Source organism: Homo sapiens, chromosome 2 (genome assembly GCF_000001405.40).
Source record: "Homo sapiens chromosome 2, GRCh38.p14 Primary Assembly".
NCBI lineage: Eukaryota > Metazoa > Chordata > Mammalia > Primates > Hominidae > Homo > Homo sapiens.
The window spans coordinates 191,589,235-191,602,961 of NC_000002.12; the positions used below are offsets into that span (position 1 = coordinate 191,589,235).

At 40.6% G+C, this 13,727-nt stretch overlaps 2 annotated features.

Annotated features, from left to right (window-relative positions):
* Positions 4,889-5,183: an enhancer, noted in NCBI's record as "tiled region #3391; HepG2 Activating DNase matched - State 9:DNaseU". NCBI's record gives its function as "activates a minimal TATA promoter and a strong SV40 promoter by Sharpr-MPRA in HepG2 cells {active_cell/tissue: HepG2}" and the evidence as "EXISTENCE:reporter gene assay evidence [ECO:0000049][PMID:27701403]".
* Positions 7,961-8,412: a transcriptional cis regulatory region, noted in NCBI's record as "candidate enhancer chr2.5925 targeted for multiplex CRISPR interference". NCBI's record gives its function as "positively regulates NABP1 gene expression with high confidence in K562 cells {active_cell/tissue: K562}" and the evidence as "EXISTENCE:mutant phenotype evidence [ECO:0000015][PMID:30612741]".

Genomic DNA, 13,727 nt, shown 5'->3' on the forward strand with positions numbered 1-13,727 from the left:
TACTCTGGAAATAAGTGTGAAAATAGTTAAATTTGTGTTCATGTGTGTAATACATTTGCTATTAAATAAGCCATTTGACATACATTTTCACAGTTTAATTTGGCATTGACGAATTAAATCTTATAGTTCACCTTTGTTTAATTTGTCCTGTGGGCTGATTTATATTAATACGTTAGTACCATAAATAAAATCTGGTCTGTGTTCTGGAGAAGATTCAACTCTGTGATACAAGACATAGGATCATAGTATCTTTTAACAAAACAGGCTAAAATAGGTGTGGTTTGAAGTAAAGGTCAGTCCTTCAAGCTTCTCCTTCACAATCACCTAAAGAAAACTGAAAAGAGGGCATTTAGAGCTTGATTCCTACCATGATGGAAAGGCAGAAAGAATTTGTAAATTTCTTTCTTATAAGTAAATATTTAAGAAATTTACACATCAAATACCCTGGGAGAAATCAATGTGACTCTAAACACCTGTTTCGCACAGTATGTTACAAACACATTTGCTTGAGGGATTTATGATATTTGTTGATAGATGCTAAAATCCAAAGCATATTTCTGTACATAGATCAATCGAATTTAGGATGAAAATGAGTAAATATATCAGCTCATGTATCAAACTTTTATGAATAAATTGGAGCCACTCTTGGGGGGACAGATAAGAAAAAGTCAGCCCCTCAAAAGGCAATTATTTTTCGAGCTTCTTCAGCATTGGCAGCAGGAGAAAAGCTGTGCTAGAAAGTAGTACCACCTTGCAGTTATTTCAAAAAGGAGCAAAAGTAGCATATTCTACTTGTAGCATGACCTAAATTCTAGGTCATGTAGATATCCACAAAAAACGATGCATTTAAATGAACAAAACCTGAATTGAGAGGTTACTGACAAATTGGTAATTAGACATTGTTTGGAACCAATGACTATTCATGACAATAAAAATAGGGTGTGTGTTTGTAAGAAGGAGAGAAACACTTGGATATGAAGCACGGGACATTAACTGCCTGAAAAATAGAAAATAAGGAGGCTATCTGGGAGTTAAGCACTGAACTTTTATTTACTATAAGAAACTCTGGTTCCTTTGAGTCTTTCTGTAAAGATTAAAGGCTTTTCTTAAAATTCAAAACAATTCTAAATTTTTATATAGACAGTGTTTAGAATTGTATTATTTGTTTCAACAGGTTACCATCTTCCCCTATCATATCCTTTGACTGGGCAGTATGTTGCAGCATCATATTCTTATTCCTTGAGATCAGATGTTTTTAAACTTAGACTGTGAGGCAGGAGAAGCATTTGCATGGCAGGGGATCCTAGGCTCAAGGGACGGCCGAGGGGTTGGGCATCTCACTGGCAGTGTTGCTGCTTCTTCTCCCTAGCATTTACCTGCTCTCCTTCTTCACTGTTTTATTTATTTATTTATTCATTTATTTAGAGATGGAGTCTTGCTCTGCTGCCCAGGCTGGAGTGCAGTGGTGTGATCTCAGCTCACTGCAACCTCTGCCTCCTGGGTTCAAGTGATTCTCCTGCCTCAGCCTCCCAAGTAGCTGGAATTATACAGACATGCACCACCATGCCCGGCTAATTTTTGTATTTTTAGTAGAGACCAGGTTTTGCCATGTTGGTCAGACTGGTCTTGAACTCCTGACCTCAGGTGATCCACCCACCCTGGCCTCCCAAAGTGCTGGGATTACAGACGTGAGCCACCGTGCCGGGCATTCACTGTTATTTTGACCTTGAGAACTGTGGTTAGCAACTTTGGCCGCACATTGGCATCACCTGGGGAGTTTAAAATAGTGATGTCTGAATCTCAGTGCCAGGAAGTCTGACTTAATTGGCCTCGGTGTGGCTTGGACATCAAGGCTCCTACATGTGCTCAGGTGATGCTCACCTACAGCTAATGTTGAGAGCCACTACTCTGGTCTGCAAGTTTCGGAGCATGATCCCCAGACAGGCAGCAGGGCGACACCATGGAACATGTTAGAAATGCACCTTCTTAGTCTCTGCCCCTAGACCTACTGCGTCAGAAACCCTGGGGTGGGGCCCAGCCATCTGTGTGTTAACAACCCCTCCAGGTGATTCTGATGCACACTCGGAATGAGAACCACAGCTTAGAGGAATGAGCCTTTTACTGGTAAGAGTGAAGCAAGGGTGAGTGGGAGAAGGCGGCAATTGTTCACCTATTTTTAAATCTTCCAAACAAGGGGATTTGAAGGCTTTTTCCCTGTGTTATGTTCCTTCACAGGTTTTACTGTATAACTGATGACATCACGTCAAATATGTCCATTATGAATGAGTTTCCTGATTCTTCCTCCAAATCAATATTTTTAGGCTTGTCAGCTATTGGGGAGTAGACACTAGTGAAAATGGTGTCATTAGCTATACACAGTAGATGGTATTCTGTATCATCTGACAGTGTTGTGAAGGTGAAATGAATCGGAAAGGAACTGTTGTCAAGCAACTTAGGTTCTTTTTTTTAAGGTTCCGTAATTTTTTATGATTACTGTAACTGTAGATCTAGTTAAGACTTCTAGTCAAAGAAATTGTTTAATAAATATAAATCCCAAGGGAACACTAAAGATGCCATCTCTTATGTGTTAGAATCTCCAAATGAGATTTCTTCAGTTAATAGCACTGTTTGTCTCTAAATTATTTTCCTTTCTATATCTTCTACATATTGTATTATTTCCCTATTGCTGGTGTATGGTAAATGCACTTGATAGCAATAGCTTAAGCATTTCCTGAGAATGACCCTGTATGGCAATGCACCTGAATGTGTGTTTGGAGTTCCAAGCTAAGGGATCAGGGATTGGCCTACTGGGAGATTCACTCCTTCTCAATAAGAAATATCTGAGCACCCCCCTCTCTGCTCTGCACCCACCCCAGGCCATGGAATGCAAGCCATATAGGGGATTGTTTTGGGTTAAGTGAAGGTTGCCAGGTGGAGAAAAATGCTATGTAAACTGCATTCCTTTTGCAAGCAGTTGCGGGTCTGTTCAGCCCACCGCCACTGGACTCTTTATTCTGTATGTAAGGCCCCAGTAAGACCCCATGTCTCCTTTGCTGGCTCTGGGTCTCTTCTTGGGCCTCTTGAACCTGGTACCTTCCCCACTGGAGTCAATAGGGTTTGGAACAACAGCTGGTATGTTACCACAAATCTGGGTCAGAAACCCAAAAAGGGTTTAACACTAAAGAAGGTGTTAGCAAGGCTGCGTTCCTTCAGCAGGCTCTAGGGGAGACTGTTTTCTTGCCTTTCTAAGCTTCTTGAGGCTGCCTGCATTCTTTGGCTTGTGGCCCCTTGCTCCATCTTTAAAGCCAGCACTGGAACATCTTCAAAGTGCTGACCCTGACCTGTGAGCCTCCTCTTATAAGGATCTTTCTCACTACATCTGGCACCCCTAGATGATCCAGAAGAATCAACCATCCACAATTTTTTTTTTTTTTTTGAGATGGAGTCTCACTTTGTTGCCCAGGCTGGAGTGCAATGGTGCAATCTCAGCTCACTGCAAATTCTGCCTCCCAGGTTCAAGTGATTCTCCTGCCTCAGCCTCCTGAGTAGCTGGGGTTACAGGCGTGTGGCACCATGCCCAGCTAATTTTTGTATTTTTAGTAGAGATGGGGTTTCCCCATGTTGGCCATGATGGTGTCGAACTGCTGACTTCAGGTGATCCACCTGCCTCGGCCTCCCAAAGTGCTGGGATTACAGGTGTGAGCCACCACGCTCAGGCCCACCACAAATTCTTAATCTTGTCTGTCAAGTCCTTTTTGCCACGTAAGATAACGTTTACAGATTCAGGGAATTAGGATGTGGACATCTTTGTGGGGGGCTATTACTTCCTACCACATGTATAAAGAGACAAATGGAATGTTCTCTGAGAGACTCTTGAGGACTAGACTGTAATGGACAGTTAAAGTATCTCCTTAGAGGGCTTGACAAAGCGGTACACTTCAAATTGTTGTGTGCTTAAAAATCTCCAGGGGGTGGCCGGGCGCGGTGGCTCATGCCTGTAATCCCAGCACTTTGGGAGGCCAAGGCGGGCAGATCATGAAGTCAGGAGTTCGAGACCAGCCTGACCAATATGGTGAAACCCCGTCTCTACTAGAAATACAAAAATTAGCCGGGCATGGTGGCACGCATCTGTGATCCCAGGTACTCGGGAGGCTGAGGCAGGAGAATTGTTTGAACCCGGGAGATGGAGGTTGCAGTGAGCCAAGATAGCGCCACTGCCCTCCAGCCTGGGTGACAGAGTGAGACTCTGTCTCGGAAAAACAAAAAAACCAACAAAAAAAAAACCCCAAAACCTCCAGGAGGTTTGTTTAAAAAAATACATGCTCTGGAGGCCTGCCTTCAAAGATTCTGATTCAGATTCAGTAGATCTGTGGTTCAAATGGGCAGATGTTCCCTCATGTGTGTGCAAACTCCCATTCCCCTGTCCCTAGCAGTGCTGCCATAGGTGACTCAGTTCAGGTGGGCCCTAGAGCATACCTACAGAAGATGACGGGAGGGCAGTGATGAAAAAAACCACAGAACCCACACAACTGTACAGCAGTAGCATGATTAACTCAGGGTGGACTCAGGGTGGACATCAGAGTTACTGGGGGGAATTAACAAAATACCGCTTTCCTGAGCCTCACTCCCAGAGACTGTGATTCCAGAGGCCTGGGGAGGGACAAGGCTTGTGTTGGTGAAAAAATCCTCCCAGGGGATTCTGACTAAGCACCACTGCCCCAACCTCCATAGCAGCCTCAGGATCTTGGTGGTCCTACCTGATCCAGCTGTGCCCAGGCAACTCTCTCGTATTCAAAAAACTATGAGCAAATATTCCATTTTTGGTGACCAATTAAACTATAGATCATAATAAATCTTCATTTTTGTATCTCTAATTCTTTTTTCAGAGGCTGGCACACAGTGGGCACCCAGCAAATGTTTTTGGAATGAGTCAGTGGTTCTCGGACTTTACTCTGCAACAGAATCACCTGGAGGGCTTGTTTCAACACAGATGCTGGGTCCCGTCCCTAGAATTTCTGACTCATTTGGACTGAGTGAGGCCTGGGATGTGCAATTCTAACAAGTCTCTGGGTGCTGCTGGTTCAGGATATCCCATTTTGAGATTCCTGGAATAAATAAAGTTTGAATTGTGAAAGTTCTAATTCTTTGATTACAAAATGGAAATGTTTCTTTTTTCTTTCTATTTTTTTTTTTTTTTTTGAGATGGAGTCTCACTCTGTTGCCCAGGCTGGAGTGCAGTGGCACGATCTTGGCTCACTGCAATCTCTGCCTCCCCGGTTCAAGCGATTCTCTGCCTCAGACTCCCAAGTAGTTGGGATTATAGGCTTGCACCACCTTGCCTGTTAATTTTTGTATCTTTAGTAAAGATGGAGTTTCACCATGTTGGTCAGGCTGGTCTTGAACTCCTGACCTCTGATGATCCGCCTGCCTCAGTCTCCCAAAGTGTTGGGATCACAGGTGGTGAGCCACCACATCCGGCCAAAAAATGGAAATGTTTCTATGTGGTCACGGGATTTAAAACTTTCCCCCAGTTTTTGAGTTGCCCTTACTTTTTCATCATTTCTATTTTTTTCCTTTAAAAATTTTATCTTCCTGCAGTAAACCACCATGGCACATGTATACCTATGTAACAAATCTGCACATTCTGCATATGTACCCCAGAACTTAAAGTATAATAACAAAACGAAATTTATCTTCTAGAAATTGAAACAGAAAATCATGTTTTTCCTGTAATAGCTGTCCTATAATGCTTTATTGCTTATTTCTTCTCTATATGTGAATCCTCTAGAGACAAAACAACTGAAAATATTGGGGGCAGTTCTTGTTGATAAAGAATGTTTTCAGACTCATACTTAGCATTGTGGAGATATAACCTAACAGTAAATTATTTTCTTTTAACCTGAAGCTTACAATTTGATTTGCATTTTTGATTTTTTGGTTACTTAATTTTCTTTGTTATACTCCTTAAAGTGAGTAAAAATATTAAAAATAAAGGAAGATAGTCACAGATACATTATGACCTCAGCACAATTAAGAAAAGTAAGTACTACTAAGTAATCTGTCCAATTTGCCTGAGACTTGGTAGTGGACACTTTTTTTTATTATAGAAATATAAAATTCATCCACTATATATTTTCAGAAAATGTATTTCTTTGGAAGACTAGCTGGTGCCCCCTCTCCCCACTATATTTATCCAGTAGAGATCATACATAGAGATTGATAGCCCTTATATGTATTTTTTTCAATCTAAGAAATTCTTAAGATTTAAGGATAGCTTTTCTTATTCACACAAAATTTTAGCAGTGCCCTTTCCTCAGAAAGAACTCCCTAAAGTTTGGATCAACATTGCAGACAGCCTTATGCCTTTGAATCGAAGTAATAAAATGTATTGATTTTATTTATTGTGCTCCCATGAAAAGGCTGTATAACTGGATTGATGGAATAGAAGATTACTGGAAATATTTATATAGGGCTGGGAAACTTTAATCTTGTACACAGTGCCGAATTGGACTATATTGCTGGGCTGAAAGGAGGCATCTTGTAAGAAAGAGCTCTTCGTAATGAACTACTCTTGCATAGTTATTCATCATAAATAACATTTTTATTGAGTGCTTACCATGTGTGCAGCACTGTATTAGATCTTTTTCTAACGTGTAAGTCTTCTTTTTTGGCCTGTTATGTACTTTTAAAGATATGAATTGGTAAAAAAATTATCATTACCCCATATAATTCAAGATAAAACACTTATTAAGGTATTATTTGCTTACAATGATGTACATAGATCATAAATGTACGATTAGATCTATTTTTGACAAAGACATGCACTCCTGTAATATACACCATTGTCAATCAAGACAGATATTTTCATCTCCCAGAAAATTCCCCCAAACTCCTTTCTCATCAGACACTCTCCCTTCCTCAAATAACCACTGATCTGTTTTCTCTCTGTATGCACTCCTTTGTGTCCGGCTTCTTCGGCTCAGTGTAATGCTTTTGAAATTCAATCCTGTTGTGTGTATCAGTGGTTCATTCCTTTTTACTGCTGAGTAGTATTCCAATGTACAAGGTACATACAAATTTGCTACGTACCACTGAGGTTGCCCCAGTTGAGTGAGAGCGTAGACAGGATCTAAGAGTTATCCTTTAGCTGTTTTCTCCACTCGTCATACTTTAAGACTTAATGTTCAAGCCATTGTTCCTTGAGGGACAAACCTTGGACTTCCTTCATTAGTACCACTAGAGCCCCACTACTAGATCTGATCTTATTAGATCAGAATTTAAATACAAGAGAGAGGACCTGCTATTTCTAGCAACCTCCCTCTTTAGGATGCTTCTGCACATTATTAATTGACACTATTTTTTAAGCAAATTTTTATGAATATAAAGGGTTAAGGAAAGGGCTAGAAAAATGGGAAACAAAATGTCCACATTGCTCCCAGTAATTAATGTTGATGCATTACAACGTGGGGGCAGACTGTGTGAGGTGAAGCAGCAGGCTCCTAGGGGCCAGGCTTAATTAATTAGAGATAGAGAATCAAACTTGAGCAAGTTTCTTCACCTCTCTGAGCCTGAAAAGAAGGGTGTGGGCAAAACAGAAGGGGAGAAGGTGAGAAGAGAAGAAAACAAGCCTCTGTCAGCTCATGGTGTCTCAAAGAGGCAGAAACATTTCAGATTACCTAAAGAAAACCAAAGCCTTCCTTGCTTTTCCTGATCACTCTTCCCACCTGCTATTTCCTGAGGGCTGCAAGCCTCACCTGTTATTTTCCACGTTGCTGCCTCCCAGCAGAAATGGGAGTACGGTTCAAAATTAAAAGAGCAGCATATCAGTGCTTCTGAATCACAGGCTGAAAAAAACACAGTCCAAAGAAACGGGATCTTTTTTCTCATGTGTGGCGATAAGGTGCTTAAATGTCAACTTGAGAAGAACATGATAGATAATAGCAATGAGCCCTGTGATGCACCCCAAAATGTCAGGCTGGTGCCACATGCTGTCCAGAAAAATATTTTGGATGATCTAGGGGTGGGGATGGGAGTATATGCTTTTTATTTATGCAGTTTATTCTATCTTTAAGTGTCAAACTGCAACGAAACATTTTCATCACTGTGGTGAAATGTCTGGCTATCTCATGGTTGCAGTCGCTGCACAGACACTGTGCACAGATAAACACGCATCTCGTATTTCATCTGTCTTTGTTCAGCATGTCTTCAGGCATATCTCCTGGGCTGCCACCATCACCCGACCATCCCGAAGGGTGGGACTCAGAGTTTCTCGGGATACCTGTCAACAGGCTAACATATCCCCACACACTGCTCACCTTAGCCCGTCTTCTCTTCTCAGGGTTTTTGGGGAGAGGGGAGATAAGGTAAATGAAGCCATCTTGACCATCGTCCTGGCCAGACCTTTTCTTTTCCTCAAAGGAAAGGCTTCTACCTGCAGTTAGTCAGGTCCACTGGGTATTTTAGAATATAGGTTATATTACATATCATTAATGGAATAAAATCTGACAAAAACACAAATTTTTGTTAGTAGTAATATTAGTATCTATATATTTTAATAGACCATATTATATTTATATTTTGAGACTTATGTATACAATACTTATAAATAAAAAATTAATGTCAATATTTTTAGAAATCGTAATTTTCACTGTAAGAGAAAGGAGATAACGAGTATAAATTTCTTTTTTTTTTTTTTTGAGATGGAGTCTCACTCTGTCACCAGGCTGGAGTGCAGTGGCACGATCTCAGCTCACTACAACCTCCGCCTCCCGGGTTCAAGTGATTCTGCTGCCTCAGCCTCCCGAGTAGCTGGGACTACAGGCCCATGTCACTACACCCAGCTTATTTGTGTATTTTCAGTAAAGACGGGGTTTCACCATGTTGGCCAGGATGGTCTCAATCTCTTGACCTGGTGATCCACCTGCCCCAGCCTCCCAAAGTGCTGGGATTACAGGCGTGAGCCACTGCACCTGGCCACGAGTATAAAATTTAAAAGAAAAACTTGGGTTTTTTTTATTAAATTTGAAAGTGAACTATTTGAATATTTGAAATTGAAACTTGAATTTGACATATAAAATATTCAAACATATTTGAATATTTGAATTTGGGATATAAATATAAGTTCATAATGTCTTTAAAATGTTTTTTAAAAAATCCAGAAGCAATGAGAACCCAGTAACATGAGAGTGTTAACACCTACATGATGGGCTCTGAATGCTATTCTCTACTTAGCACAAGTAGTTCTTGGAGGAATAACTGGTTCCAGGGGTGAGGTGGGAAATGACAAACTGAGAATGAATCACCTTATTATGCTGGAAAGTAAGGAAGCTGACCACTGGCCAATGGTGGACAATTTCACCATCAAAAAGAAAAATGATGGCAATTTATTGAAACTCATTAATTAAATAAAAATTCATGAATTTATAATATCCCAAAGAGAAAGCCAAAGTAACAAACACAACTCATTTGTCACAGCTGGAGGTAGTCCATCAACTTCGTACTCTAAAAATTAATAATTAAGAGGAAAGAATTAGGTCTTGATCTGCATTTTCTGTGAAAATTCTATTTTTAAGTCACAAAATAGTTGATGAGAGAGAGAGCTGTTCGGACAGAAGTATTCTGATAAATGTAGAAAGAATGATAGAAAAATCAACATTTTACAACATGTAGCGAAATCACTATTTTAGGAAATGAATATCAATGGATGCTGAGACTAAAAATTAAAATATTAATGAGGAGCTGGACATTCCGAGGGTGCCAAAGGGTCACACAACTACTTTACAACCAGGGATCAGGCAGTCACCACCTGAATCTATTGATGAGTCTTAGCACCATTGTAAGCAGGGCAAATGGGTATTATTTACTTTCTGATGGGATGTAATATGAAGCACATAGTACCACCTGTGAAGCATCCATGCCACAAATTTTAGCCCTGAATCTAACCAAGCCTTCATATGTAACTTATAGGTTATAGGACATGGAAACAGATTGAAAAAAATCTGCAGAATCCAGAATTTTCTGGTACAACTACCCAGTCTGTTTAAAAAAGCCACTGCTTGAATAAACGGCAGTTGGGAACATGACCATGCCTCGTGGTTATCACGAAGCATGATGACCTCTTTTGTCTCATGACAAAAAACACTTAAGAGCAACCTCAACTACAGCAGAAGAAACCTTCTACTTTCCTGGTTATTTCTGTATCTTGAATGTTCACATGTGCATATGCATTCTAGCAAAAGAGTGTGGTTAGTAAGTTGAGTGCTTAGTGTTTCTACTGACGTCTTGTGAAGAATGCAGCTGGCTTCTGATTCCTGCACTCCTTCCCAAACTCTCTGCCCTCTCCTTCTCACCTTCATTGAAGTTCATGAAACTAGTAGCAAGTATAGGGGTATAAACAGAAATAGTTCTGTCAGAGGTGTTTGAACCAGAGCAACTCCATCTTGAATAGGGGTTGGGTAAAATACGGCTGAGACCTACTGGGCTGCATTCCCAGACACTGAAGGCATTCTAAGTCACAGGATGAGATAGGAGGTCAGCACAAGATACAGGTCATAAAGACGTTGCTGATAAAACCGTTTACAATAAAGAATCTGGTCAAAACCCACAAAAACCAAGATGGCCACGAGAGTGACGTCTGTTCGTCCTCACTGCTACACTCCCACCAGTGCCATGGCAGTTTACAAATGCCATGGCAACATCAGGAAGTTACCCTATATGGTCTAAAAAGGGGAGACATGAATAATCCACCCCTTGTTTAGCATATCATCAAGAAATAACCATAAAAATGGGCAACCAGCAGCCCTTAGGGCTGCTCTATGGAGTAGTCATTCTTTTATTCCTTTACTTTCTTAACAAACTTGCTTTCACTTTATGGACTCACCCTGAATTCTTTCTTGCACAAGATCCAAGAACCTTTTCTTGGGTTCTGGATCAGGACCCCTTTCCAGTAACAGTTCTAACTCAAAATAGAGCTTGTCTGAGGTAGTCACATATTCTGGGCATCACAGAGTCTAATAATGTTTGTGAGTAATAACAATAGTTGCATATGCTGAGATAAAAGTAATCAAATCTCATCCTCTATGATGGAAATCCGTAGCTGCACTGTGCAGGATTGTGCTTCAGGGGTCTAAAAATTTCACCCTAACTGTATGCAGAATACTAATACTTGATTAGAGCTCTCTTTCTATCAAATGTAGGTAGTTCTAATGGGAATAGTTGCCCAACATATAATACAATCCTACTTAATCAGCACCCCCCGGCCCCTGTTTAAAATCTGGAACATTTATATATGTGTGTGTGTGTATCCATCCAGGTTCATTTAAGTATTATAGTCACACTGTCAGAATTATTCTGATTTCTTTAAAATTTTAATTGGCTGAGTTTCTTAGTGAATCATAGCTAGATGAGGAGCAATTCCAAGTAAGTGGCAGAGATTAAATATCCTGAAACCTTAGGAGGAATATTAGTGTATAAAATAAATTTCATTATGTAACAGCCTATAATCTACCTAGATCAGTGATTGTTTCTTCTCCTTCTCTCATTCCCTCTTCCTCCCTCTCCTCTGCCCCAGATCCCTTTGAGAATCTTATTAATGTCAGGGTTCCCTTGTGAAAAAGATGTAAACATCTTTTTCCATAACTTCAGAGGGCTCCTGTCAACTCCCCCACTGTGGCAGATTGGATTGTACCTTCTGAAGACGGCCAAAATAACAGCTCCCATCCCGCATGCTCTTCTGCCATGGGACTTGCTGCTCTCCCACCGAGAGGTAGAGTCTAATTTTTTTTCCTCTTGCTTCTGGGCATTCCTGAATGATTTGCTGAACTGAATGATTTGCAGTAGAAGAAATTTTCTAGGACCTTCAAGGTTAGATCATAAGAAGCCTTGTGGCTTCTACCCGGGAGTTTTGGAGTGCTTACTCTTGGGACATACCCTCTTACAACACAGCTGCCATCCTGTTAGGGTCACAAGCTGCAAAGAGAGATCACATGTGGCCCCTCAGGTTGGCACACTCAGAGCTCATAGCCAACAACTAACATCCATTGCCAGCCGTGGGAGGGAGCCATCCTGGTCATTCATCCAGTGAGGTCATCCCTTTGACCTCAGACAACATCTGACTACAGCTGCGTAGAAGAGCCCATTCTAGCCCAGCTGACCCACACAAGGAAGAGCAGTAATAATAAATGGTTGTTTTCAGCCACTGAGTTTTGGGGTGATTTGTTACATAGCAAATATAACAAACTGTAACAGCCACCCACCCCTGTTGAGAACCACTGCTCTTAATGATTTATTGAGAAAAGGAAAGAAGTAACATTCATAAAGTTCTGCTAAAAATTATAAAGCCCTACAACACTAGCTGTATATTTGTGCATCTTATAGAAGTCACTAGCTAAGTTTGTACAACACTGAGAGAGCTTCTGATTTGAGGGGATTTGCCTTTTTATTTCATTTACAAATCAATCAGAGTAAAACCTGCGGTTTAGAAACTGTTCTCCTACTTCCACAAGTAAGTCTTTATAACATCTGAGTAGTGTTCTACATTGGATTTGGGTGATTCTTACATTAAATATTGCAGAATGCAGCAATATATCTCTTTTCCCCTCTTTTTTCCTCCCTTCTCTTTTTCCCTCTCTTCTCTCTGTTCCCCTCTTGTCCCCTCCTCTCCCTGTTTATATACACATATAAACCACATACATTACTATATTACTTTTGCTCTATGTGGTCAATATTGCAAATCCCCTTATCCCCAACCGACTGCCTAACATTGACTACCTTGATTTTATTTATTTATTTATTTATTTATTTATTTATTTATTTATTTAAGACAGAGTCTCGCTGTGTCACCCAGGCTGGAGTGCAGTGGCACTATCTCAGCTCACTGCAACCTCTGCCTCCCAGGTTCAAGCTATTCTTCTGCCACCATGCCCGGCTAATTTTTTGTATTTTTAGTAGAGACAGGGTTTCACCATATTGGCCAGGCTGCTCTTGAACTCCTGACCTTGAGATCCATCCGCCTTGGCCTCCCAAAGTGCTGGGATTACAGGCATGAGCCACTTGCCCGGCCAACTATTTTGATTTTAATACCAGATAACATTAAGAAAAATCTTTTGAAAACAATATGTCATATGCTTTGACCCAGAAATTCCACCTTTAGATATTTTTCCTTAGAAATTAATGGTTAATTTGAAGATTTAGTCACAAGGATGTTTATCACAACTTTACATATTATAGGGGAAAATTAGAAATAACCTAGATATACTTCAACAAGGGACTTAATAAATGATGGTATTCATGTGCTACAAAATAATATGCAACAATTAAAATTAGATAAATCTATTCATACTGACATGGCAAGATGTTCAGGATGTATTGCTAAATGAAAAAAAAAAGCAAGCCGGGCGCGGTGGCTTATGCCTATAATCCTAACACTTTAGGGGCCTGAGGTGGGCAAATTGCTGGGCTCAGGTGTTTGAGACCTGCCTGAGCAACATGGTGAAACCCCATCTCAACAAAAAATATAAAAATCAGCCAGGTTTGGTGGTGTGTGCCTGTAGTCCCAGCTACTTGGGAGGCTGAGGCTGGAAGATTGCTTGAGCCTGGGAGGTTGAGGCTGCACTGAACTGTGTTTGCCCAGTGTACTCCGGCCTTTGTGACAGAGCAAGATCCCGTCTTTAGGAAAAAAAAAAAAAAAAAAAAAGCAAATTGTGAAACACTAGGTATAATGAAATATT